Genomic DNA, 27915 nt, shown 5'->3' with positions numbered 1-27915 from the left:
TGCGATCTTGGCTCACTGCAACCTCCGCCTCCCGGGTTTAAGCAATTCTCCTGCCTCAGCCTCCTGAGTAGCTAGGATTACAGGCGCCCACCACCACATCTGGCTAATTTTTGTATTTTTAGTAGGGATGGGGTTTCCTCATGTGGGCCAGGCTGGTCTCGAACTCCTGACCTCAGGTGATCCACCCATCTCTGCCTCCCAAAGTGCTGGGGTTACACGCGTGAGCCACCACACCCAGCCTTTTTTCAGTTTGTTTTGTTTTGTTTTAAGAGAGAAGGTCTTGCTCTATCACCCAGGCTGGAGTGCAGTGGTGTGATCACAGCTCACTGCAGCCTCGGTCTCCTGGGCTCCAGCAATCCTCCGGCCTCAGCCTCCCAAGTACTTAGGAGTATAGGCACCAGCCACCATGCACAGCTAATTAAAAAAAAAAAAAAATTGGCCGGGCGCGGTGGTTCACGCCTGTAATCCCAGGCGTGAATGACTTTGGGAGGCCTTGGTGGGGGGATCACCTGAGGTCAGGAGTTTGAGACCAGCTTGGTCAACATGGCAAAACCCGGTCTCTACTAAAAATACAAAAATTAGCCATGCATGGTGGTGCGCGCCTGTAATCCCAGCTACTCGGGAGGCTGAGGCAAGAGAATTGTTTGAACCCTGGAGGTGGAGGTTGCAGTGAGCCAAGATCGCGCCATTGCACTCCAGCCTGGGCAATAAGAGTGAAACTCCGTCTCAAAAACAAAACAGAACAAAATGTTGGCACAGACAACAGGATCTTTACGTTGCTCAGATTTGTCTTGAACTCCTGGGCTCAAGTGATCCTTACACCTCAGTCTTCCGCAGTACTGGGATTACAGGCGTGAGCCACTGCACCTAGCCTGGAGTCTCTTCTTAACTTCCTTCTCCCTTCCCCTTCCCCTTCCTTTCTTCCTTCTTCTTTCCTTCTTTCTTTTTATTTATTTTTTTCTTTTTCTTTTTTTTTTTTTGATATTGAGTCTCGCTCTGTCGCCAGGCTGGAGTGCAGTGGCGCGATCTCGGCTCACTGCAACCTCCGCCTCCTGGGTTCAAGGGATTCTCCTGCCTCAGCCTCCAGAGTAGCTGGGACTGCAGGCGTGTGCCAACACGCCCAGATAATTTTTGTATTTTTAGTAGAGATGGGGTTTTACCATGTTGGCCAGAATGGTCTCGATTTCCTGACCTCAAGTGATCCGCGACTCAGCCTCCCAAAGTGCTGGGATTACAGGCGTGAACTGGCCATCTTCTTTGATTGCTATCTCCATGCGTTCCGGTCAAGGCACGGGATGGTGGTCTCCAGTTCAGTTGAAATTTCCAAAATCACGGCCTGGAAAAAATCAAGGCGCTGATTTTCAGAGATTCCCCAGAGCTGCCGCGAGGGGGCGCCCGGCCCTGCCAAACCCGGAGGGCGGCGCGCGCGAACCGTGTCCGAACCGCACGGCGGCGTCCTGGGGGGTCCACTGTGAGGACGGGGGGTCCACTGTGAGGACGGAGCTTCCTCTCCTCAGGACCCACCCAGGAGGGGCCGGGGCTTGGGACACCTGGGGACACCTGGGGCCGCGTCCGCTGTGAGGACAGGGAGACGCTGCTGCAGCTCCGGGACACCTGGGGCCACCGAGGCGAAGGTGAGGAAAAGGCTTCCTGCCCGCGCTGCGAGTGCAGCGGAGCGAGCGCGGCCGCGTTTCCCGTCGGGCTCTTTGTACCTGGGCTTCACTTTGTGCAAGCGTCCCTTCATGGAGGCTTGGGCGAGTCACCCCTAGCGCAAGGCCAAGATGCCGGTTACGAATGCGAGTTTGTTTCTGGGGAGAGACCCTGGTACGGGGAGAGACCCTGGTACCGGGAGAGGGGGAGGAACGCGGAGACGCCGTCGGGCGGTGGGGATGTTGGGGACTGGCAGGCGCCACAGCCTGAGGTCGAGGAAACAGGCACCCCCGGATCAGTGCTCATTTTTTGTTTTGTTTTGTTTCTTTCGAGACGGACTTTCGCTCGTTTCCCAGGTTGGAGTGCAATGGCGCGATCTCGGCTCACTGCAACCTCCGCCTCCTGGGTTCAAGCGATTCTCCTGCCTCAGCCTCTCGAGTAGCTGGGATTACAGGCATGCACCACCACGCCCGGCTAATTTTGTATTTTTAGTAGAGACGGGGTTTCTCCATGTTGGTCAGGCTGGTCTCGAACTCCCAACCTCATCAGGTGATCCACCCACCTCGGCCTCCCAAAGTGCTGGGATTACAGGCGTGAGCCACGTCGCCTGGTCAGTGCTCCGTGTTTTCAGGCTCATTTGTTAACATAGTGGAAACAACACAGGAAAATGGAAAAGTAGGCACATTATCATGGTCATGCCACTGCACTCAAGCCCTGGGCAACAGAGCGAGACCTTGTCTCAAAAAACACAAACAAATGAAAACAAAACCAAAAAAACCATTGTGTGCGTCTAATGGAAGTGAACTCGTCAACAACAGTTTTTCTTTTGTCGAGAAAGTCTGTTTAATTTACAGTGTATTTGTAATGGTACATAAAATGACGTCTGTTTTATAAACATTCTCATCCTAAGTTAGTTGAAATGTATTAACTATATCAAGCTTTGACATGATACCATAAAATTAATTGAAGAAAGTCACTAATCTTTTTTTTTCCTTGGCCTTGACCATTTTAAATAAAATCAGATTTCGTTAAGGTTACTTAATACTGAGCTGTAAACCCGTATGGCCCTGTGGTGTCTTTTCTTATCTTTTTTTCCTTTTTTTTTTTTTTTTTTTTTTGAGATGGAGTCTCGCTCTGTCTCCCAGGCTGGAGTGCAGTGGCGTGATCTCAGCTTGCTGTAACCTCCACCTCCCAGGTTGAAGCAATGCTCTGTCTCAGCCTCCCCAAGAGCTGGGATTACAGGCGCCTGCCACAACGCCCAGCTAATTTTTTTGTATTTTTAGTAGAGATGGGGTTTCACCAATTTGGCCAGGCTGGTCTTGCACTTCTGACCTCGTGATCCACCCGCCTTGGCCTCCCAAAGTGTTGGGATTACACGCGTGAGCCACTGAGCCCAGCCTCTTTTCTTTTTTTGACATGGAGTCTTACTTTGTTGCCCAGGCTGGACTGCAGTGGCGCGATCTCAGCTCACTGCAACCTCCGCCTCCCGGGTTCAGGCACTTCTCCTGCATCAGCCTCCTGAGTAGCTGGGATTAAAGGCTTGCATCACCACACCGGGCTAATTTTGTATTTTTAATAGAGGTGGGGTTTCACCATGTTGGCCAGGCTGGTCTCGAACTCCCGACCTCAAGTGATCCACCCGCCTTGGCCTTCCAAAGTGCTGGGATTGCAGGCAGGCCTGAACCACCATGCCAGGCTGCTTTTTTTTTTTTTTTTTTTTTTTTTTAAATTTTTTTTTGTTTGTTTTTGATACGGATTTTAGCTCCTGTTGCCCAGGCTAAAGTGCAATGTCCCAATCTTCGCTCGCTGCAACCTCTGCCTCCTGGGTTCAAGAAGCTCTCCTACCTCAGCCTCCTGAGTAGCTGGGAATACAGGTGTGCACCAGAATGCCTGGCTAATTTTGTATTTTTAGTAGAGATGGGATTTCACCATGTTGGTCAGGCTGATCTCTAACTCCTGACCTCAAGTGATCCACCTGCCTTTGCCTCCCAAATTATTGGGATTATAGGTGTGAGCCACTGTACCCAGCCTTTACATCTTTATTGATTGATTTTTTTTTTTTTAAGAGAGAAGGTCTTGCTCTGTCACCCAGGCTGGAGTGCAGTGGTGTGATCGTGGCTCACTGCAGCCTCAACCTCCCGGGCTCCAGCAATACTCCTGCCTCAGCCTCCCAAGTAGCTTGGACTATAGGCACCAGCCACCATGCACTGCTAATTTAAGCAGGATCTTTACGTCGCTCAGGTTTGTCTTGAACTCCTGGGCTCAAGTGATTCTTACACGTCAGCCTCCCAAAGTGCTGGGATTACAGGCATGAGCCACTGCACCCAGCCGAAGATCTCCCCCACTTTTTTTTTTTGAGACAGATTTTCACTCTTTTTTCCGAGGCTGGAGTGCAATGGTGAGATCTCGGCTCACTGCAACCTCTGACTCCTGGGTTCAAACGATTCTCCTGCCTCAGCCTCCCAAGTAGCTGGGATTACAGGCATGTGGCTAATTTTGTATTTTTAGTAGAGATGGGGTTTCACCATATTGGTCAGGCTTGTCTTGAACTCCAGACCTCAGGTGATCCCCCCACCTCAGCCTCCCCAAAGTGCTGGGGATTACAGGTGTGAACTACTGCGCCCGGCCCTGCAGTATTTTTCTTTTTTCTTTTTCTTTTTTGAGATGCAGTCTCACTCTGTTGCTCAGGCTAGGGTGTAGTGGCGCGATCTCCGCTCACTGCAACCTCCCCTTCCTGGACTCAAGCGATTCTCCTTCCTCAGCCCCGAAGTAGCTGGGACTACAAGTGTGCGCCATGATGCCTGGGTAATTTTTTGTGTGTTTTTAGTAGAGGTGGGGTTTCACCATGTTGGCAAGGCTGGTCTCAAACTCCTTACCTCAAGTGATCTGCCCGCCTTGTCCTCCCAAAGTGTTGGGATTACAGGCATGAGCCACCATGCCCTGTCCCTGGGGTCCTTTTTTAATGGGGATCTCTAAGGGTCACTCCAAGCTTTTCTATGGTAATCAGTATATTTAAATTTTCCTTATTTTAGAGTCCATTTTGTTAATGTGTATTTTTACTAGGAAATCACCCATTTTCTCTCAGTTTCCAGTTTGATTCAATAAGTTTCTCCTTTCTTTTATTTTTTATTTTTTTGAGACAGGGTTTTGCTCTGTCTCCCAAGCTGGAGTGCAGTGGCGCAGTGGAGATCTCGGCTGACTGCAGCCTCCACCTCCTGTGTTCAAGCAATTCGTCCTCAGCCTCTTGAGTAGCTGGGATTACAGGCCTGCACCACCATGCCCAGCTGATTATTGTATTTTTAGTAGAGCCTGGGTTTCGCCATGTTGGCCATGCCGTTCTCAAACTCCTGACCTCAGCTGATCCGCCCGCCTCGGCCTCCCAAAGTACTGTGATTACAGGCATGAGCCACTGTGCCTGGCCAATAAGCTTCTCTTATTTGACTTCTAATTTATCTCCTTTTAGTTTTCAACAGAATTCTTAATCCTATGTGTTTCTGCTATTTGTTTCCATCAATAATATTTTAAAAATATACTTCTTAGTTTATCTTGTTTTCAATTGAGGGAATTGTTATATTAAACAATTTCTTATGACCCAATGACAAGCTTTAATTATTTTAAAATAATTCCTGCTTAATGCAACACCTTTTGCAGGAACGAGCTGTCAGTGGTATTTGTTACTGACCAGAGTTTCTTGACTCTCCAGTAATAGAAATTGACATGAGGATGAGCAAGTTTCCCAGACAAAGCTTTTATTTAGGTGTTTTTAAGCTTTTATTTAGGAGGCAGCAGAAGAGAGAGAATTCTCTGTCTGGCTCCCTGAAGAGTCAGGAGGAGAGTGTTTCTAAGGTCTGGCCCGATTGCCCAGGCTGGAGTCCTCTGGCACCATCTCGGCTCACTGCATCCTCCCGGGCTCAAGCCATCCTCCCGCTTCAGCCTCCCGAGTAGCTGGGACTACAGGTATATACAACCGTGCTCAGCTAATTTTTGTTTTTTTTTGTAGAGATGAGGTTTTGCCATCTTGCCCAGGCTGGCCTCAGACCCCCGCAAAGTGCTGGGATTACAGGCATGAGCCACCATGCCCGGCCCAGTGTGTTCTTATTAAATTTCAGTAATTAGTTGTGCCATTTGCCTTTTGTTCAACACTGAGATTTTGTTTTTCTTTCCTAATTATCTCATACATGGACTTTGGTTCCATTAAACTATTATTTCCTTGATCTACAAATTGCGGGTGATTCTTGCAGATTATCCAAGAAATAATTATGTTTTGTTCTTAGAAAAACCACATTATTAACTTTACTACTGTTAGATACCACACCTGCAGTGACTTTAAGGATTTTGCTGGACAATGTCTTAGACAATTTGCTAAGGGTGGACATTGGGTGAATGGCTTGAGGGAACATGCATTAAATACTCGAGACACCCAGGAGGCTGCTGTGTCCCGTAAGAGAGAGCATACGAGACTGCAGGCCACTGGGGTTGAATGCCTTGGAAAGGGCAGCATGCAGGAAGGAGCACACAGTGTGTGGAGGTCATGGTCAGTCCTGTGGTCCTTGTTCTAAGGCCAGTGGGAATCCATTGTAAAAGTTGAATCAGAGAGTGACATTGTGAACCTTGGGTTTGAAAATGAGAATTTTGCCATTTTACAGTTGAGATCACCAGCTGTGGGCGGGTGGATTGTGCTTTCTGGTGGGTTGCACTGAGGAGAGCAAGCATTGGGCTGAGGTGTTTTCCCTGGGAACGCAGGGTCTGCATCTGCTCAGGAGGAAACACGGGGCAGACCCAGCTGGGAGTTATCTGCCAACGTTGTGAAACTGAGGGACAGCTCAGGAACATTCCAGAAAAAGGAAAACCCAATCCAAATGGAAAGAGACCCTTTCTCCCAGTTGGGGCAGGCAGTGAAGTGAAATGGGTCTGTGGATTGGATTGTCAGGTAGAGACCTTGCATTTCCTGATTTGGGAGTTACGTGGTGGTTAGCTGGGAGGCTGTCTTTGCTTTGGTAAAATACACTGGAGTGTTTTGTGTGGAGTTGCTGTAACTGCTGAGGAATCTAGGAGAAGGGATAAGTTACACTTTACACTGCTATTGCAAGATTCCTAGAAGTATGAAATTACTGTAAAATAAATTACAAACAACCACAGTAATACCATGGCAATAAAGCAGAGACGACATCAAACTTCACTATAGAGGCCAAACCCAGTCCAAATTCAGGTCAGTGTAAGCTGTGTACCAAGCACCCCGGTAAGAGTCTGGATGCTGTATCAGTATTGCGGCTGCAATATCAGTATTGAGGGTGTCACGTGAGTCTTAGGGGTGTCATAGCAGTATTGTGGGTGTCATATCAGTATTTCGGGTGTCATATCTGTATTGTGTGCATCATATCAGTATTGCAGGTGTCCCATCAGTCTTACGAGTGTCATATCAGCCTTACAGGTGTCGTATCAGTATTATGGGTGTCATATGAGTCTTAGGAGTGTCATGAATCTCGTGGGCTTCACATCAGTCTTCTGGGTGTCACAGCAGTCTTGTGGGTGTCATATCAGTATTACGATATGCCGTGATATGTTATACCAGTATGATACCTCTTCTGAAAACACCTTCACAGACATACCCACACATAGTGCTTTAACAGCTCTCTGTGTATCCCTTAATCTAGTAAAGTTGACACCTAAAATTAACCATCACAGTAATTATGCCTGATTCATGGCTAAAATTTTAGAATTTTTTAAAATTTTAGAATGAAAGCTGGGCACCATAGCCAGACACCGTCCCTACAAAAATATTAAAAAGTTAACTGGTTGTGCTTGCACACATATGTAGTTCCAGTTACTCTAGAGACTGAGGTGGGAGGATCTTTTGAGCCCAGGAGATTGATGCTGAAGAGCTAGGATTGTGGCACTGCATTCCAGCCTGGGTGACAGTGTGAGACTCTCTCAAAAAACAATCAACAGTAATAATATTCTTTGGAATAAATTTAACCAAGGTACAAGACTTGTACATGAGGCTGGGCATGGTGGCTCACGCCTGTAATCCCAGCACTTTGGGAGGCCAAGGCGGGTGGATCCATGAGATCAGGAGATCGATACCATCCTGGCTAACACGGTGAAACCCCGTCTGTACTAAAAATACAAAACATTAGCTGGGCATGGTGGCATGTGCATGTAATCCTAGCTACTTGGGAGGCTGAGGCAGGAGAATTGCTTGAACCCGGGAGGCAGAGGTTGCAGTGAGCCGAGATCTTGCCACTGCACTCCACCCTGGGTGACAGAGTGAGACTCCGTTTCTGGAAAAAAAAAAAAAACAAAAAAAACAAGAAAATAACTTGTACATGGAAAATTTCAAAACATTGCTGAAGTAAATTCACGAAAGCTTACATAAATTTAAAGATGCCTCATATTCATGAACTAGAAGACTTAATAATTCTTAAGGTGGCAGTACTACACAAAGCCACCTACAGATTCTTTGTGGATCCTGTTACAATCCCCACGTCCTTTTGGCAGAAATCAACAGGCTGATCCTGTCATTTATATGAAATTTCAAGGGATGCAGAATAGCCAAAATAGTGTCAAAACAACAACAACAACAACTCAGGCTCACATTTCCCAATTTCAAATCTTACTACAAAGCAACAGTAATAAAATCAACATGATTCTGGTACAATCATTTGAATAAATCAATAGAACTGAATTTTGAGTTCAGAAATAAACCCATATTTCTATGAGCAATTGCTTTATTTTTATTTTTTTGAGACAGGGTCTCACTCTTGTCTCCCAGGCTGGAGTGCTGTGGCACAATCATGGCTCACTTCAGCCTCTATCTCCGGGGCTCAAGTGATCCTCCCGCCTCAGCCTCCAAGTAGCTGGGACTACAGGTGTGCACCACCACATCTGGCTAATTTTTTGATTTTTTGTACAGGTAGGGTCTTGCTGTCCTGCCCAAGCTGGCCTCAAACTCCTGTTCTCAAGTGATCCTCCTCTCTTGTCCTCCCAAAGCATTGGGATTACAGGTGTCAGCTACCATGTCCAGCCTGTTGATTTTTTAAAATGTAATTTCTTTTTCTTTCTTTTTCAAGGCATGGTTTTGCCCTGTTGGTCAGGTTGGAGTGCAGTGGTGCGAACGTGGCTTATTGCAGCCTAAACCTCCTGGGCTCAATTAATCCTCTCTCCTCTGTCACCTGAGTAACTAGGACTACAGATATGCACCATCACACCTAGCTAATTTTTAAGTTATTTGTAGAGAGAGAGTTTTCCTGTGTTGGCCGGACTGGCCTGAAACTCCTGGGTTCAAAAGATCTTCCCACCTCAGCATCTCAAAGTGCTGGTATTACAGGTGTAAGCCACCACCCCCCGTCTGGAATGGTTTTCATAATTACATTCTCATGTTGTTTGTTGCTAGTGTCTGGAAATATAGCAGATTACTGTGTATCGACATTTTGTGTTGTAATTTTGTGTTGTAGTTTACTAGTTTTAATAACGTTTTGGGGGTTTGTCATGATATTTCTGCACATAAGATAGCTCCTGTGATCTGTGAGTAGCCGTTTTTACTGCTTCCAAACACATATAAGTTCTCTTTACTTCCTTTTCTCTCCTATTTGTTGTGGATGGAACTTCCCATACAGTGTTGAATACAATGATGAAAATGAGCATTGGTGCCTTGGTCCTGATCTTAGGAGTAAAGCACTGGGCCCTGACAATGGAGATGGTGCTGAAGTCCGATTGTGGTGTTTAGAAAATTCCTATCCCTGGTTTGTTGGGTGTTTTTATGATGAAATGGTGTTGACTTTGTTTAAAGTACTTCCTGCATCTATTGAAATTAGTATGTGGGTTCCTTCTTTATTCTGTTTATTTGATGTTTATTTGCAGTGATGGCTTTAGTATGCCAAACCAGCTTGATTTTCTGAGAAAAGGATGTAGTGATCATGTTGTGTAATCCTCAAAATACGTGCTAGTATGAAATTACAATTATTTTCTTGAGCATTTTTTTTTTAAATTTTTTTGAGACAGAGTCTCACTCTTGTCACCCATGCTGGAGTGCAATGGCATGATCTCAGCTCACTGCAACCTCTGGCTCCCAGGTTCAAGCTATTCTCCTGCCTCAGCCACCTGAGTAGCTAGGATTACAGGCTCCTGCCACCACACCTGGCTAATTTTTGTATTTTTAGTAGAGACAGGGTTTCACCATGTTGGCAAGACGGGTCTCAAACTCCTGACCTCAGGTAATCTGTCTGCCTTGGCCTCCCAAAGTGCTGGGATTTCAGGTGTGAGCCACCGCACCTGGCCTCTTGAACATTATTAATTGAATAATTATACTAGACATTGATCTGTACCTTTCTGTTCTTGTGATGTGAAGTACTAGTGTGGTTTAGTATTAAATTGGGGATGGGATTGGGTATGGGTTGGTTTACTATTTAGCATATTAAGTATTAGAAGTTTAGGGGAAAAAATTAGCAGAAAGAAAACATACCTGAGGAATTGCGGGGAAGAGTTTGATGAGGTCTGGGTCAAAGTCAGGGTTTAGGGTTAACAAGAGAGCGCCTGTAGCCTTTGCCAACAGTAAATATCAGTCCTTTTCTTGAGACAGGTTCTCGCTCTGTTGCCCAGGGTGGAGTGCAGTGGCGCAGTCTTGGCTTATAGCAACCTCCGACTCCCGGGTTCAAATGATTTTTAGGCCTCAGCCTTCCAAGTAGCTGGGAACACAGGCACGTGCCAACATGCCCAACTATTTTTTTTTTTTTAAGTGGAGATGGGGGTTTCCCCATGTTGACCAGGCTGGTCTCAAGCTTCTGGCCTCAAGTGATCGCTCACTTCTGCCTCCCAAAGTGCTGCGATTATAGGCAGGAGCCACCATGCCCAGCCTGCACACAGGCAGGCAAAGATATTTTAATATTCTTTTAATTAGCACTTCCTTTAGTATTAGTCAGTGTAAGCAACTTTTCATTTATTTCTTAGTTGAGAGTTCTTTGGGTCACAAATCAGATGACATTTCAGTATGTGTAGGGGTATGCATATGTGAGTGTGTTGATGTGTATGTGTGAGAGGAAGTGCAAACATAAGTATGACAGAATGAATATGCACACCTGTTCTTGTGTGCCTAGTGTGTTAGGGTTTGCTTAGAGTTTGATTTAGGGTTGGGGTAATGGTTAGGTTTAAGTTATGGAGAAGGGTTAGATGGTTAGTGTTAGGGTTAAGGGTTAGGGTGAGGGTGAGGGTTAGGGTTAGGGGTTAGTGTTGGGGTTGGGGTTAGGGTTTTAGGGTTAAGGGTTAGGGTTAAGGGTTAGGGTTGGGGTCAGTGGTTAGGGGTCATGGTTAAGAGTTAAGGGTTGGGGTTAGGGTTAGGGGTTAGGGTTAGGGTAAGGGTTAAGGCTAAGGCTAGGACTAGGGTTAGGGTTTGGGGTTAGGGGTAGGGTTAGGGTTAGGGCTAGGGTTGGGGTCAGTGGTTAGGGGTCATGGTTAAGAGTTAAGGGTTGGGGTTAGGGTTAGGGTTAGGGGTTAGGGTTAGCGTAACGGTTAGGGCTAAGGCTAGGGCTAGGGTTAGGGTTAGGGCTAGGGTTAGGGTTAGAGTTAGGGTTAGGGGTTAGGGTTAGTGTTAGGGTTAGGGTTAGGGTTAGGGGTTAGGGTTAGGGTTAGGGCTAAGGCTAGGGCTAGGGTTAGGGTTTGGGGTTAGGGTTAGGGCTAGGGCTAGGGCTTTTAATAAAGTTATATGGTAGCCAAGTTGTCGTTACAGTGGGCCTTGGGTGAGACCAAGTTCTATGCCTACTTCAAGTGTGAACCAGCGCAGTCTCAGTGGTGATGGCCTCAGGGATGCTTATATTACCCCAACTCCAGCTCCACATGGCTTAGCACAGAAAGAGAGACTGCTGGTTTCAGAGAAAGAAAGGGAAGAGAACTAGAATCTCTACTTGATAAATCAAGAGAATTTTTCTTAATGTTAATCCAAGGCCACCACAGCAGTACCTCTACATGTTTGCTACTGTGCTTTTGGGCTTGGGACCTAAGTCTCTTTGAACACCTGGAAAATGTTCCCAAAAATAATGGGCACAAAGAAGCCCAGACTGTGAAGACTACAATAAAGACTGAACTCTTCAATGCCCAGATATGGATGAACATCTACAAGTATCAAGGCCATCCAGGAAAACATGACCTCACCAAACAAGCTAAATAAGGCACCAGGGGCAAATCCTGGAAAAATAGAGATATGTGACCTTTCATGCAGGAAATCCTAAATAGCTGGTTGAGGTAATTCAAAGAAATTCAATATAATGCAGAGAAGGAATTCAAAATTCTATCAGATAAATTTAACGAGATTGAAATAAAAAGAATAAAGCAGAAATTCTGAAGTTAAAATCCAATTATCATACTGAAGAATGCATCAGAGTTACTTAAAAAAATTGATCAAGGAGAAGATAGATTTAGTGAACTTGAAGTCAGACTATTTGAAAAGAAAAAGTCAGAGGAGACAAAAAAGAATGAAAAATAAAGCATGCCTACAGAATCTAAAAAATAGCCTCAAAATAGGAATCTAAGAGTTATTGGCCTTAAAGAGGTGGTAGAAAAAGAGATAAGAGCTAAACATTTATTGGCCCAGTGCAGTGGCTCACGCCTGTAATCCCAGCACTTTGGGAGGCTGAGGCGGGTGGATCACAAGGTCAAGAGATCAAGGCCATCCTGGCTAACACAGTGAAACACCATTTCTACTAAAAATACAAAAAGAAATTAACTGGGCGTGGTGGTGGGTGCCTGTAGTCCTAGCTCCTTGGGAGGCTGAGGCAGGAGAATGGCGTGAACCCAAGAGGCGGAGCTTCCAGTGAGCCGAGATCACGCCATTGCACTCCAGCCTGGGCTACAGAGCGAGACTCTGTCAAAAAAAAAAAAAAAATTAAACATTTATTTAAAGAAATAATATTAAAAACAATTCCCCAACATTTGATATCAACATTCAAGTACAAGAAAGTTACAGAACATCAAGCAGATTTAACCCAAAGAAGACCACCTCAAGGCACTTAACTGAACACCCAAAGGTTAAGGATAAAGATATGATTCTAAAAGCAGCAAGAGAAGAGACACAAATAACATTCAATGGAACTCCAATACATCTGACAGCAGACTTTTCAGGAGAAAATTTACAGGCTGAAAGAGTGGCATGACATATTAAAAAAGCTGAAGGAAAAAAAAAGACTTTACTTTAGAATAATGTATCTGGCAAAAAGTCCTTTAAACTTGACAGAGAAATAAGAACTTTTTCCGACAAACAAAAACTGAGGTATTTCATTAACACCAGACCTGTCCTACAAGAAATGCAAAAGGGAGTTCTGAGCCTGAAAGAAAAAAGTGAGTAAGCAATAAGAAGTCATCTGAAGGTACAGAACTCAGTAGTAATAGCACATGGAAAAACACAGAATATTATAACATGGTAATTATGGTGTGCAAAAATCTCAAATAGAAAGAGTAAACAATAAGCCAATAAAAAATAACTACAACATATTTCCAAGACATAGACAGTAAAATAGGGAAGGAAGAGAAACAACAAAAAGTTTAAAAGAATGGCAATGGAGTTAAAGTGTAGAGTTTTTATTAGTTGCTTTGCTTGTTTCTTTGTTTATGCAATCAATGTTAAATTGTCCACAGTCTAAAATGATGTGTTATATTATATTCAAGCCTCATGGTAATTTTAAATCAAAAAGCGTACCACAGATGTACAAAAAGTAAAAAGCAATAAATTAGATAATATTAAAATATAAATCACCTTCACTAAAAGGAAGACAGGAAGAAAGAAAAGAACAATGAGAGGACAAAAATCAATCAGAAAACAAGTAACAAAATGGCAGGAGTAAGTGCTTATCAATAATAACATTGAATGTACATGAACTAAATACTCCAATCAAAAGACAAATAGTGGATGAATGGATAGAGAAGCAAGACAATAATCTGTGACCTACAAAAAAAATACTCTACCTGTAAAGATACATTTAGACTGAAAATAAAATGATGGAAAAAGTTATTCCATGCCGATAGAAACCAAAAAAGAGCAGAAATAGCTTTACTTATACCATACAAAAATAGATTTCAACAAAAGACTGTAGGAAGATATTAAGAAGGTCATTATATAATAATAAAGAGATCAATTCTTCAAGAGGATATAATAAGAAATATATATGCACTCAACACTAAAGCACCTAGATAAATGAAGCAAATACTATAAGAGCTAAAGAAAGAGATATCAATACAATAATGGCTGGACACTTCAACACCCTACTTTAGTCATTGGATAGACCTTCCAGACAGAAAATCAACAAAGAAACATCAGACTTAATCTGCACTGTATAACAAATGAACCTAATAGATATTTACAGAAAATTTCATTCAACAGCTGCAGAATACACATTGTTCTTCTCTGCACATGGGTTATTTTCAAGGATAGACCATATATTATGTAACAAGTCTAAAAACATTAAAAAAATTGAAGTAATATCAAGCATTTTCTCTGACCACAATGGAACAAACTAGAAATCAATTAAAAAATGAATTTCAGAAACTATACAAACACTTGGACATTAAACAGTATGCTCTTTAATGATCAGTAGGTCAATAAAAATGTTAAAAAGAAAATGGAAAAATTTCTTGAAACAAACAATAATAGAAACATAGCATAGCAAAACCTGTGGAATATGGTAAAAGAGGTACTATTATAAAAGGAAAATTTATAACTGTAAGTGCCTATATAAAAATCAGAAAAGCTGCAAATAAATAACCTAACAATACATCTTAATTCACTAGAATAAAAAGGCCAAACAAAACTCAAAATTAGAAGAAAAGAAATAATAAAAATTAGAGCAGAAATAGAATGAAGAAAACAGTGCAAAAGATCAATGAAACAAAAAGTTGGTTTTTTGAAAAGTAAAACAATTAACAAATATTTAGACAGCTAGCTAAAAAACAGAGAAGATACAAATTAATAAAATCAAAGGTGAAAAAGGAGACATTACAAGTTTCAGAAAATCAAAGGATCATTAGTGGCTACTATAAGTAATTGTATGCCAACAAATTAGAAAACCTAGAGGAAATTAATTCTTAGACACACTCAACTTACCAAGAGTGAACTAGGAAAAAATCCAAAACCTGAACAGACCAATAACGAGTAACAAAATTAAAGCCATAATAAAAAAATGTCTGTAGGACCAGACTGAAAAATAGAGAAGGAAAGAACATTTCCAAACTCATTCTTTGAGGCTAGTATTACACTGATATCAAAACAAGACAAAGACACATTTAAAAAGCAAACTACGGGCCCATATTTGAGAATATTGATGCAAAAATTTGCAAAAAACCTAGCAAACTCAATTAAACAATACATAAATAGGTAATTCATAATGACCAAGTGGAATTTATCCCAGAGATACAAGGATGGTTCAACACGCAAATCAGTCAATGTGATATATCATATAAATAGAATGAAGGGGCCAGGTGCAGTGGCTCACGCCTGTAATCCCAGCACTTTTGGAAGCCGAGATAGGTGGATCTCCTGAGTTCAGGAGTTCAAAACCAGCCTGGCCAACATGGCAAAACCCCATCTCTACTAAAAATACAAAAATTAGCCAGGTGGAGTGGTGGGCACCTGTAATCCCAGTTACTTGGAAGGCTGAGGCAGGAGAATCACTTGAACCCGGGAGGCAGAGGTTGCAGTGAGCTGAGATCATGCCATTGCACTCCAGCCTGGGTGACAGAGGAAGACGTCATCTCAAAAAAAAAAAAAAAGAATGAAGGACAAAATCCATATAATCATTTCCATTATGCTAAAAAATTATTTGATAAAATTAAATATTCTTTAATAATAAACCCTTTGAAAACTGGTATGGAATGAACATATCTCAACATAATAAAAGTCATATATGACAGACCCCCAGCTAGTATCATACTAAGTGGGGAAAAACTAAAAGCCTTTCCTCTAAAATCTGGAAGATGACAAGAATATCCACTTTTACCGCTGTAATTCAACATAATTCTGAAATTCCTATCTGGAGCAATCAGACAAGAGAAAGCAATAAAAGGCATCCCAATTGGAAAAGAAGTCAAATTATTGTTTTTGCCAGTGATATAATCTTATATTTGGAAAAACGTAAAGACTCCTCTGATAGGGTTTTAATGTGTGTCCCCTCCCAAATGTAATTCCCAATGTTGGAGGTGGGCCAGGTGAAAGGTGATTTAACCATTGGGGTGGATTACTCATAAATGGCTTAGCACCATCCCACTTGGTACTATCTTCATGATAGTGAGTGAGTTCCCATAAGACCTGGTTATTTAAAAGTGTGTAACAACTTGCCCCTCTGTTTTTTTGCTCCTGCTTTTTGCCCTATGATGTGCAAGATTCTGCTTCAACTTTTGCCATGACTGTAAACTTCCAGAGGCCTTCCCAGAAGTGCATACCAGTGCTGTGTCTTCTCTACAGCCTGTAGAATCATGAGCCACTTAAACCTCCTTTTTAAAAAATAAATTACCCAGTCTCAGGTATTTATAGTGATGGGAAAAAAGCTTAATACAGAAAATTGGCACAAAGGAGTGGAAAATTGTTATATGAATACCTGAAAATGTGGAATCAGCTTTGTAATTGGGTAAACAGGCAGAGGTTGGAAGAGTTTGTAGGATTCAGAAGAAGACAGAAAAATGAGGGAAAGTTGAGATTTTCTTAACTTTGAATGGCTTTGACGAAAATGCTGATAGTGATCTGGACGGTGAAGGCTGAGCTGAGGAGGTCTCAGATGAAAATTAGAAACTTATTAGGATCGAAGCAAAGGTCATTCATGTTGTCTTAGCAAAGTGGTTGGCTGAATTTCTGTTATGCCCTAGGGTTATATAAAAGTTTGAATTTGAAAGTGATGATTTAGGGTTTCTGTTGAAAAAATATCTAAGCACTAAAGCATTGAAGATGTGGCCTGGCTGCTTCTAACAACCTATGCTCACATGTTGGAGCAAAAAAAAGTAAGTTGTAATCTATTTTTACTTGCAAGGGAAGCATAGCGTAAAAGCTTAAAAACTTTGCAGCCTAGTCATGTGGCAGAAAAATAAAAAGCTTTTACAAGAGAGGAACTCGAGCAGCCTGTGGAGCAATCACTTGTTAGAGATATTTGTATAACTTAAAAAAAAAAAAAAGCAAGTGTTGATAGCCAAGACAATGGGGAAGAGGAATTGAAGGCATTTTAGAAATCTAAAAGGCAGCCCCCCATCACAGACCCTGAGGCCTAAAAGAAGAGAATAGTTTCTGGGATCAGGCCCAGGAACTGCTGCCTTGGGTAGCCTTAGAACATGGCTCCCTGCATCCTGGCCACTGCTCCAGCTCCAGGTGTAGCACAAATTGGCCCAGTTACAACTCCAGTCACTGCTTCAGAGGGTGCAAGCCATAAGCCTTGGTAGCTTTCATATGGTGTTAGGCCTGTGAGTGTACAAAATGCAAGAGTTGAGACTTGGGAGCCTCCACCTTTACTTCAAATAATGTATAAAAAAGCTAGGGTGTGCAGGCAGAAGCATGCTGCAGGGGTGGAGCCCTCATGGAGAACCTCTACTAAAACAATGCAGTGAAGAAATGTAGGGTTACAATCCCCATGTGGGTTCCCCACTGGGGCATGGCCTAGTAGATCTGTGAGGAGAGGATCACTGTCCTACAGATCCCAGAATGGTAGATCTAGCTACAGCTTGCACTTTGCACCTGCAAAAGCCAGAAGCACACAAAACCAGCCAGTGGCACGCAATACCAGCCCATGAGAGCAGCTGTGGGGGCTGAACCATGCAAAGCCACAAGGTCTAAACGTCCCAAGGCATTAGTGTGCCCTGGAAATGGGACGTAGAGTCAAAAATAATTATTTTGGAGCCTTAAAATTCAATAACTCCCCTTCTGGGCTTCAGACTTGTATGGGTCCTGTGGCCTCTTTTTTTTAGCTGATTTATTCCTTTTAGAATAGGAGTATTTACCCAATGCCTATGCCCCATTTGTATCTTGGAAGCACTTAATTTGTTTTTTATTTTACAAGCTTATAGGAAGAATAAACTAGCTTTGTCTTAGATGAGACTTTTGACTTTTGAGTTAAGGCTGAAATGAGTGAAGACTTTGGGGATTATTGGGATGTCATGATTGTATTTTGAAATGTGAGAAGGATGTGAGATTTGGAATGGCCAGGGGCAAAATGATATAGTTTAGGTGTGTGTTCCCACCAAAATCTTATATTAAAATGTAATCCTCAATGTTGGAAGTGGGCCTAGTCGGGAGATGATTGAATCATGAGGGCAGGATTTCCATGAACAGTTTGGCATCATTTCCTTTGGTGCCATTCTCACAATAGTAAGTTTTCATGAGAGCTGGTTATCTACAAGTGTGTAGCACTTCCCCCCTGCCCTCACACTTACCATGTGATGTGCAAGCACCAGATTTATTTTTCACCTTGATTGTCAGTTGTCAGAGGCTTGACCAGAAGCAGAAGCCAGTGCTATGCTTTCTGTACAGCCTGTAGAACCATGAGCCAATTAAACCTATTTCCTTTATAAATTAACCAGTCACCAATTGTTTTTACAGCAATGTGAGAATGGTGTAATATTTCCATCAAAAAACTATTAGAAGTAATAACTTGAGTAAATTTGCAGAATACAAAATTAACATATACAAATCAGTAGGATTTCTATATGCCAACAGTCAACAAACTGCAAAAGAATTCAAAAAAGTAACCCTATTTGCAATAGCCACAAATAAAACAAAATGTGTGGGAATTTACCAAAGAAATAAAAGTTCTCAACAATTAAAAATGTAAAACACCGATAAAAGAAATGAAAGAGAAGACAAAAAAATGGAAAGTTATTTCTATGTTCACATATTGGAAGAATCAGTATTTTAAAAAATGTCCATACAATCCAAAGCAATCTATACATTTCATGCCATCTCTATCAAAATAACAATGACATTCCTCACAGAAATAGAAAAAAAATCTGAAATATGGAACCACAAAACACCATAATAGTCAAAGCTATTCTGAGTATATAAACCAAAACTGGAGGAATCCCATTACATGGTTTTAAATTGTACTATCAAGCTATAGTAATTAAAACAGCATGACACTAGAATAAAAAGACATAAAGACAAATGGAATGAAATAGAGAACTTAGAAACAAACTCATACAACTAAACTAATTTTCAACAAAAGTGTCAATAACATACAACAAAAAACAAGACAGTTTCTGTAATAAATAGGGCTGGGAAAACTGGCAAGCCATAGGCAGAAGAATGAAACTACAACACTATTTCTTGCAAAATACAAAAATCAAATTAAAATGAATTAAGGACTTAAACCTAACACCTCAAACTATCAAAATTTTACAAGAAAACACTGGGGAAACTCTTTAGGGCATTGGTTTGGGCAAAAATTTCTTAAATAATGCCCCATAAGCACAGACAACCAAAGCAAACATGGACAAATGGAATTACAGCAAGTCAGAAAGCTTTTTTAAAGTGAAGGAAACAATAAAGTGAAGAGAAAACCCACAGAATGGAAGAAAATATTTGTAAATTACCCATCTGAAAAGCAATTAATAGCTACATGATATGGTTAGGCTTTGTGTCCCCACCCAAATCTCATATTGAATTGTAATCCCCAGGTATTGAGGGAGAGACTTGGTAGAAGGTGATTGGATCATGGGGTTGGTTTCCCCCAGGCTGTTCTTCTGATAATGAGTGAGTTCTCATGAGATCTGATGGTTTTATAAGGGGCTCTTCCCCCTTTGCTTCACATACATGCTGTCTCGCCTGCCATCATGGAAGAGGTGCCTGCTTCCCCTCTGCCATGATTGTAAGTTTCCTGAGGCCTCCCCAGCCATGTGGAACTGTGACTCAGTTAAACCTATTTCCTTTATAAATTACCCAGTCTCGCCAGGCACAGTGGCACATGCCTGTAATCCCAGCACTCTGGGAGGCTGTGGCGGGTGGATCACGAGGTCAGGAGTTCAAGACCAGCCTGGCCAAGATGGTGAAACCCCGTCTCCACTAAAAATACAAAACTTAGCTGGGCATGGTGTCAGGTGCCTGTAATCCCGGCTACTCAAGAGGCTGAGGCAGAGAATTGCTTGAACCCAGGAGGTGGAGGTTGCAGTGAACCGAGATCATACCAGTGCACTCCAGCCTGGGCGACAGAGCAAGACTTCATCTCAATACATAAATAGATAAATAACCCAGTCTCAGTTTTTTTATAGCAGTGCAGAAACAGACTAATACACTACAATATATTGAGTTCAAAACATTCTATAGAAAAAAATATAATCAATTAAAGAGTGGACAAAAATTTAAATGGACATTTATGAAAAGAAGACATACAAATGGCAAATAGGCAAGTGAAAAGGTGCTCCACATTACTGATCATCATAGAAATGCAAATCAAACCCAAAATGAGATATCATTTCACCTCAGTTAAGGTGGCTTTTATCCAGAAGTCAGTCAAAAACAAATGTTGCTAATAGCCAAGATTTGGAAGAAACCTAAATGTCCATCAACAGATGACTGGATAGAGAAAATGTGGTACATATACACAATGAAGTACTATTCAGCTATAAGAAAGAATGAGAGTCTGTCATTTGCAGTAACAGAAATGGAACTGAAAGTCTTTATGTTAAGTGAAATAAGTCAGGCACAGAAAGAAAAATGTCACATGTCCTCACTTATTTGTGGGTGCTAAAATTTGAAATAATTGATGTCATAGAGAGTATAAGGGTGGTTACCAGAGGCTGGGAAGGGCAGTGGGGGAACGGGGTTAGTGGGGATGTGAAATGGGTACAAAAAATTGTTAGAAAGAATGAATAAGACAGTATTTGATAGCACAACAGGGTGATTATGGTAAAAAAAATTTAATTATACATTTTATAAAAACTAAAATAGTATAATTGGATTGTTTATAACACAAGCTATAAATGCTTGAGGGGACGGATACCCTGTTTTTTATTATGTATTACTCGTTACATGCCTGTATCAAAGTATGTCATGTACCCCCATAAATATATACACTAACTATGTACCCATAAAAATTAATTAAAAATTACAATTAAAACCAAAGGGAGGAGAGTCTAATGAGGCAGGTGTGACCCATGGCTTGAAGTAGCTTTTCAGGTTAACTTTGGAATGTCCTTATCCAAGAAGAGGGGTCCATTTAGTCAATAGGGGCTTAGAAATTAATTTTTAGTTTGTAAGTGGAAAAAAGAGAATTTTTAATCCTGAGCCATAGCTCTCAGTCAGTCAGTCCCTGCAGGGAACCCTGTTCTTTACTCTGGAGATAAACACTATTTTTCTTTTCCACTGAATAACACCACATTTCAAAATGAGGGGAAACATCTTGAAACTAAGAGGTATGGCCTTATTAAATTTGATTTGGTTTCCATTGTAATTAATTTAATCACATGTGTTCTAGAGTTTGTCCTCAGTCTTCTCCTACTTTAGGCCCATGAACTGTTGAATTTGCTCGGCTCCCTGCTCAGCAGCAGGAAATCAGAATTATTTAAAAGCCTCATTGTGGCTGGGAGCAGTAGCTCATGCTTGTAATCCCAACAATTTGGGAGGCCAAGGTGGGCAGATCACTTGTTGTCAGGGGTTTGAGACCAGCCTGGCCAACAGAATGAAACCCCATTTCTACTAAAGATACAAAAATTAGCTGGGTGTGGTGATTCATGCCTGTAATCCCAGCTACTTGGGAGGCTGAGGCAGGAGAATCACTTGAACCCGGGAGGCAGAGGTTTCAGTGAACCAAGATGGTGCCCCACACTCCAGCCTGGGCAATAGAGCAAGACTCTGTCTCAAAACGATAATGATAATAATTAATAAATAAAAATCTCATTGTGTTCCAGACAAAATTTCTTTTGCATATCAACTGTGTCAACTTGCATATTAACTATAATCATTTGTTACTTTATATCCAATCTTGAGAAATCTTTGAGGACTAATTTCACTCTTTTCTGCCATTATGGTAAACATACCAAATGCCATCAAATAAAATGCACAAAATTCCTGAGAAATACATTTTCTCCTTGAGGAGTAGACTTGCTGTGTTAGAGGAACTCATGGTTATCAAGCTTCTAGTTTAATAAACATGACTAGAATTCTCTATCTTAATATGAGTAGCTAGGTACTCACAAGGCATCTAGAAGGTTAATACCTATAGTCTGAAAATAGCCACATTTTTTTACTGGCCACAAATTACAACTGCAGAATATTTATGGCCATACAAGACATCTTCCACCAAGCCTGAAAAATGTATAAATGTCCTAGGAGTGCAGCATTTTTTCTTAAAGATAATATTAATGAGCTAGCTTAGGTCAACGGGTTAATTGTCATTGTTAAAACGAATAGCCCCGACTTCAATGAGTACATCTGCACCTTCCAAGTTTAATTATAACTCTTTCTCTTTATAGTTAGAGTAGAGACACTAACAAAAGACAATGCATTCCTGCTCTTGTTTTCTGAGGATGTCCAACTCTGTAATGGAGTCATTTCTAATAAACTTGCTTCGTTCACTTTGCTCTCTGACTCACCTCAAATTTTTTCCTGCACAAGATCTAAGAATCCTACTTTGTGGTCTGTATCAGGACCCTCTTTTCCAGCAACATCTTTCAGCAATGCCATGAAGGGACACCAAGACAAGACCCCCACTCCAAGGAAAACAATCCACATAGAATCAATCAGCTGGCAAGTGGGCTGTCTTTTAGAGTTGCGAAGCCATTCAGGTTGGCAAGAATGATTACCCACTATTACTTAAGTGAGAGGCCCTAGGGTATAATATTAGGGTGAGAGACTCAGCCCAAAGTTAGAGACCTGGGGGTGTCATACTCAGATTAGAGGCCAAGCCCACAGGGTTAGAGGCCCTGGGGAATATTGAGAAGAATGGATTTGGCTAAACAAGATGTTTGCCACTTTCTCTTTTTGGACTGTCCACCTTGTGCTCTTTGTCCCTCACCTGAGTGCTCTGCATATTGTTGCCTTTCTGCCCACCGCCTCCGTTTTGCAGTAGCCTGGAGGCTGCCCCAGGAAAGAGGCCCCAAACAGTTTAGCTTTTACTTTCCTCAGCAATCCTCTGACTTTTAGCCTTGATGTCTTAGAGCTATTGCTGCTACCACTTTTCTAGTTGGCAAAGCTAATAAACTAACATTAGAACAGCACCTACAGGTTTTTGACCCCACACCAAGGGAAGGTGGTCCTAGAAGCTAAAGGGCAGCAGTGGATAATAGGAGAATATTTATGAAAGTGTGAGGCCTTATTGCTAGACCGACCCTCCAGACATAACCCTTAAAGCCTGGCAAACCATAAACCCATCTACTTGCCTGTCAGAGTCCACAGGTGCTCCCAGCCTTTCTGGCATACAGGTTGTATTAGTCTGCTCTCATGCTGCTAATAAAGACATATCTGAGGCTGGGTAATTTATAAAAAAAGAGGTTTAATTGACTCACAGTTGCACATGGTCGGAGAGGCCTCACACTCATGGCAGAAGGCAGGTGAGGAACAAAGTCACATCTCTTACATGGCAGCAGGCAAAAGAGCTTGTGTAGGGAAACTCCCCTTTATAAAACCATCAGCTGTAATCCCAGCACTTTGGGAGTCCAAGGCAGTGGATGACCTGAGGTGAGGAAATCGAGGCCAGCCTGGCCAACATGGTGAAACTCCGTCTATACTAAAAGTACAAAAATTAGACAGGCATGGTGGTGGGTGCCTGTAATCCCAGCTACTCGGGAGGCTGAGACAGGAGAATCGCTTGAACCCGGGAATCAGAGGTTGCAGTGAGCCAAGATCATGATAATGCACTCCAGCCTGAGCAACAGAGCAAGACTCTGTCTCAAAAATAAATTAATAAATAAACCATCAGATCTCATGAGGCTTATTCACTGTCACGAGAGCAGCATGGGAAAGACCCATCCCCTGATTCAATTACCTCCCACTGGGCCCCTCCCACGATATATAGGAATTATAGGAGCTATAATTCAAGATAAGATTTGACTGGGGACACAGCCAAAGCATGTCACAGGTTATGAAACAAATTGATTCTAGCAGGCCAGACTTAAGAGAGATGAGCCCCTTGACCATCCCAAGGCAGAGTGGTTAACAGATGCAAGTTGTTTTATGCATCAGGAAAACAGGAGGGCTAGATATGCTATTATTAGCACAAGATAATCAAGGCACAAGCCTTGCTGGCCTCGACCTCAGCTCAAAAAGCTGAGTTAATTGAACTTACTAGGCCCCTGCAGTTGGAAAGGATTTAAAAGTTAACATTTACACTGATTCCAAGTATGATTTTTTAGTGCTTCATGCTTATGCTGCAATTTGGAATGGGTGGGGACTCCTGACCCCAAAGGGCTTTTCCATACATCATTCAGATTTTGAGCTTGTTAGAATGCTGCTTTGCTGCCAAAAAGTGACTATAATTAATTGCAGAGGACATCAAAAGAGAGACTGACCATGTAAAAGGAAATGCCCTTGTAGATGCCACAGCCAAGGCCCCTGCACTGAAAGGGCCAATGAAGCTTGTGGGCGTGCTGGTCAGCATACATAGAACTGGGCCGGAATACCCTGAAGAAGAACAAAAATGGGCCAGGGATTGCATTTCAGTCCAGGGCCCCTCAGGCTGAATGATGGTAATAAATTACTAATGCCAAGTACCAATCACAGGAGTATAACTCAGCACTTTCATGATTCTTTTCACCCTAGAAGGGATTCTTTGTTTCTGTTAATGTCTCATTTGTTTATAGGGGTAAATCTTTTCAAGACACTAAAACAGGTGACTCAGCCCTGTGAGCTCTGTGCCTGACATGACCCAAACGGCCAGCAATTTTCTCCTTCTCCAGTTAAACCTGTCCAAAATTGAGGAACCTATCCAGGTGAGAACTGGCAACTCTAATGTACTCCGATACCTTTCTGCAGGAGATTCAAATATTTGCTAATGCTTACTGATACCTTCACTGGTTAGATCGAGGCATTCCCCACCCCATCTGAAAAATGTTTACCAGAAGAAATAACTCCTCAGTTTCGGTAATCTAAAAGCCTGCAAAGTGACAATGGCCCATCTTTCACAGCAGGCGTAACCCAACACCTATCCTCAGCTTTAAGAATCCAATATTACCTTCACTCTGTGTGGAGACCGCAGTCCTCTGGAAAGGTGAAAGGGCTAATCCTACTCTACAGAAGACTCCAGCTAAATCAGACGCCTGACTATCTCCAACACCCATAGCTTACTGCGGGTTTGAACTGCTCCAAAGTAAAACGTATAATTAAGTCCTGTTGAGTTAACATATGGAAGGCCTTTCCTAACCACAGATCTCCTAATAGATGAAATGAATCTCCATTACAAAAATATCAATCTAGGACAGGTGCAAAGGCACTCCGTGCATATGGAAACAAGCGTCTTCCCCTCCCACATGGGAGGAAAATTCAGTTTCAGCTCAGCTAGGGATCTAGTCTTACTAAAGACGTGGGAAGAAGTTCTCCAGCTGAGCAGCTTTCCCCAACGTGGAAGGGACCATAGCAAGGACACCTGAGTTCTCCAACAGACGTTCAACGCCAAGGGATTCACAGGTGGGTGCACCTGTGTGGAAGTAAAGCTGTTGCTTATTCTGGGAGCCCAATCGGAGGCTGAGGGAGGTGGACGCGGGGCTATTTAAGCGTTAGCGGAGGGCGGGCTGGGTCGCTGCGCGTCTGCTCCTCCTTCTCGCGCTTCTGCTGCCGCCCTAATCCTGCCTTGGCCATGAGGGAAATCGTGCTCACGCAGACCGGGCAGTGCGGGAACCAGATCGGCGCCAAGGTTGGCAGCCAGGGCTCTGAGGGCCCAGCCCGGGCCTGCCGGGTGGCTGGGGAAGATGTTGGCAGTGGCGGGAGCGGTGCCCCTGCATTGCGGCCCCTGGGCTCCCTGCCGGGGACGGTGGAACCGGGTGGCTGGCGAGGCGGCTGGGGTGGACCCCAGGGACAGGGCGGCCTAGGGATGGGGGTGCGGGTGGGGGTGGGAGAGCGGCTGGGGCGCCTCCGTGACTCAGCCCCGGCCTGTCTGGCCCCTCCCGTCTCTTGCAGTTCTGGGAGGTGATCTCTGATGAACATGCCATCGACTCCGCTGGCACCTACCACGGGGACAGCCACCTGCAGCTGGAGCGCATCAACGTGCACCACCACGAGGCCAGCGGTGCGACCCCCGTCCTTCTCCCACCGCCCTCCTGGGAACGCGGCCCTCCCCTCGCTCATGCCCTCCCGCCCCACGCAGGTGGCAGGTACGTGCCCCGCGCTGTGCTCGTGGATCTGGAGCCGGGCACCATGGACTCTGTGCACTCGGGGCCCTTCGGGCAGGTCTTCAGGCCAGACAACTTCATTTCCGGTGAGCTGCGGGCGAGGACTGGGGTGCGGCTCCTTAGCCAGGGCAGCTCAAAATCCAGGAGTGCCCAAGGTCATCCTGTGGGAACTGTGGCGCCAGGGCCCCTGAACACCCTCCTATCCGCCGAGTCGAGTCGCTTCATCTGCCTCCTAAATGGGCTTCGGGAGGAAGGCCCCGGTGTCTCCTCAAGGTGAGGAGCTACTGATGTCCCTGCCGGGAGCTGAGCTGGGGCCGTGGCTACTGCCTTTCCTGAGAATGGGCAGGAGCCACCTGCAGCGAGGTCTGTGAACCCGTCTCAGGTTTGACTCCTGTCTTAATTTCTAACAGGGGAAGCTGCTGTCCTGTAACTCTGGAGGAGGGAGTTTCATTTGCTCCACCTGCAGGGCGAATGGTGCTTTCACCTCACATGTGACACTTGGCCCTTTCTGCATTATGGTGGTGACCACTGATGACCGTATACCTGGCCGTCGAGTGACCGGCTGTGCTGTCTTACAGGTCAGTGTGGGGCCGGAAACAACTGGGCCAAGGGACGCTACACAGAAGGCGCGGAGCTGACGGAGTCAGTGATGGACGTTGTCAGAAAGGAGGCTGAGAGCTGTGACTGCCTGCAGGGTTTCCAGCTGACCCACTCCCTGGGTGGGGGGACTGGGTCTGGGATGGGTACCCTTCTCATTAGTAAGATCCGGGAGGAGTACCCAGACAGGATCATAAACACATTCAGCATCCTGCCCTCGCCCAAGGTGTCGGACACCGTGGTGGAGCCCTACAACGCCACCCTCTCAGTCCACCAGCTCATAGAAAACGCGGATGAGACCTTCTGCATAGATAACGAAGCGCTATATGACATATGTTCCAGGACCCTAAAACTGCCCACACCCACCTATGGTGACCTGAACCACCTGGTGTCTGCTACCATGAGTGGGGTCACCACATGCCTGCGCTTCCCAGGCCAGCTGAATGCTGACCTGCGGAAGCTGGCCGTGAACATGGTCCCGTTTCCCCGGCTGCATTTCTTCATGCCCGGCTTTGCCCCACTGACCAGCCGGGGCAGCCAGCAGTACCGGGCCTTGACTGTGGCTGAGCTCACCCAGCAGATGTTTGATGCTAAGAACATGATGGCTGCCTGTGACCCCCGTCACGGCTGCTACCTAACGGTGGCTGCCATTTTCAGGGGTCGCATGCCCATGAGGGAGGTGGATGAACAAATGTTCAACATTCAAGATAAGAACAGCAGCTACTTTGCTGACTGGTTCCCCGACAACGTAAAAACAGCCGTCTGTGACATCCCACCCCGGGGGCTAAAAATGTCAGCCACCTTCATTGGGAATAATGCGGCCATCCAGGAACTCTTCACATGTGTCTCAGAGCAGTTTACAGCAATGTTCAGGCGCAAGGCCTTCCTCCACTGGTACACGGGCGAGGGCATGGATGAGATGGAATTCACCGAGGCCGAGAGCAACATGAACGACCTGGTGTCTGAATATCAGCAATATCAGGATGCCACGGCCGAGGAGGAGGAGGATGAGGAGTATGCCGAGGAGGAGGTGGCCTAGAACTCTCCTTTTCTAGGTAAAGGGGGGAAGCAGTGTGGATTCTTTACTGTGTTCTGACAGCCATGTGTCACTATACGCTTGTTAATTTGTGTCTTCACATCTCCTGCTGCGTTTTAAAGCATTTTTATAGTATGCGGTTTTGACTAATAAAGTATTCTCACAGCATCTGGTTTTGCCTCCATCTTCTTTCTATGGGCCCTCTGGCTACTGCTGCCAGATGCGCATAGTTGTCCTGCAAGGCGGAAGCTGTCTGGGTTCATCACATGCCCAGGAACAAGCATTCCAGTGGCTCCAGGAGGGGTCGGTATGGGCTGTGGACATGGCAGGCAGGCTTCACATGAACTTGGTGATGCCCTGGG

The 27915-nt window shown here is 43.9% G+C and overlaps 1 protein-coding gene across 8 annotated transcripts; it reads left to right on the top strand.

Moving 5' to 3' along the window:
* Positions 1-1406: 1406 nt before the first annotated feature.
* Positions 1407-27734, top strand: TUBB8B (tubulin beta 8B). Of its 8 annotated transcripts, NM_001389610.1 has the most exons (7): positions 1407-1634; positions 24397-24525; positions 25080-25219; positions 25709-25817; positions 25896-26006; positions 26331-26498; positions 26744-27722. In NM_001389610.1, exons 4-7 carry the CDS (start codon positions 25728-25730, stop codon positions 27554-27556), a joined length of 1182 nt encoding a protein of 393 aa, NP_001376539.1. In that variant the 5' UTR covers positions 1407-1634; positions 24397-24525; positions 25080-25219; positions 25709-25727; the 3' UTR covers positions 27557-27722. The 8 variants fall into 8 exon arrangements, with proteins under 8 accessions (NP_001376539.1, NP_001376538.1, XP_024306911.1 ...); NM_001389609.1 differs by lacking the exon at positions 26331-26498 and having other exon boundaries at positions 26499-27722; XM_024451143.2 differs by having other exon boundaries at positions 24397-25219.
* The last annotated feature ends 181 nt before the right edge of the window (positions 27735-27915 follow it).

The sequence above is a fragment of the Homo sapiens genome, chromosome 18 (assembly GCF_000001405.40).
Source record: "Homo sapiens chromosome 18, GRCh38.p14 Primary Assembly".
Classification (NCBI taxonomy): domain Eukaryota; kingdom Metazoa; phylum Chordata; class Mammalia; order Primates; family Hominidae; genus Homo; species Homo sapiens.
The sequence above is the reverse complement of the archived record's forward strand: the minus strand, read 5'-3'. Positions and strand labels throughout refer to the sequence as shown.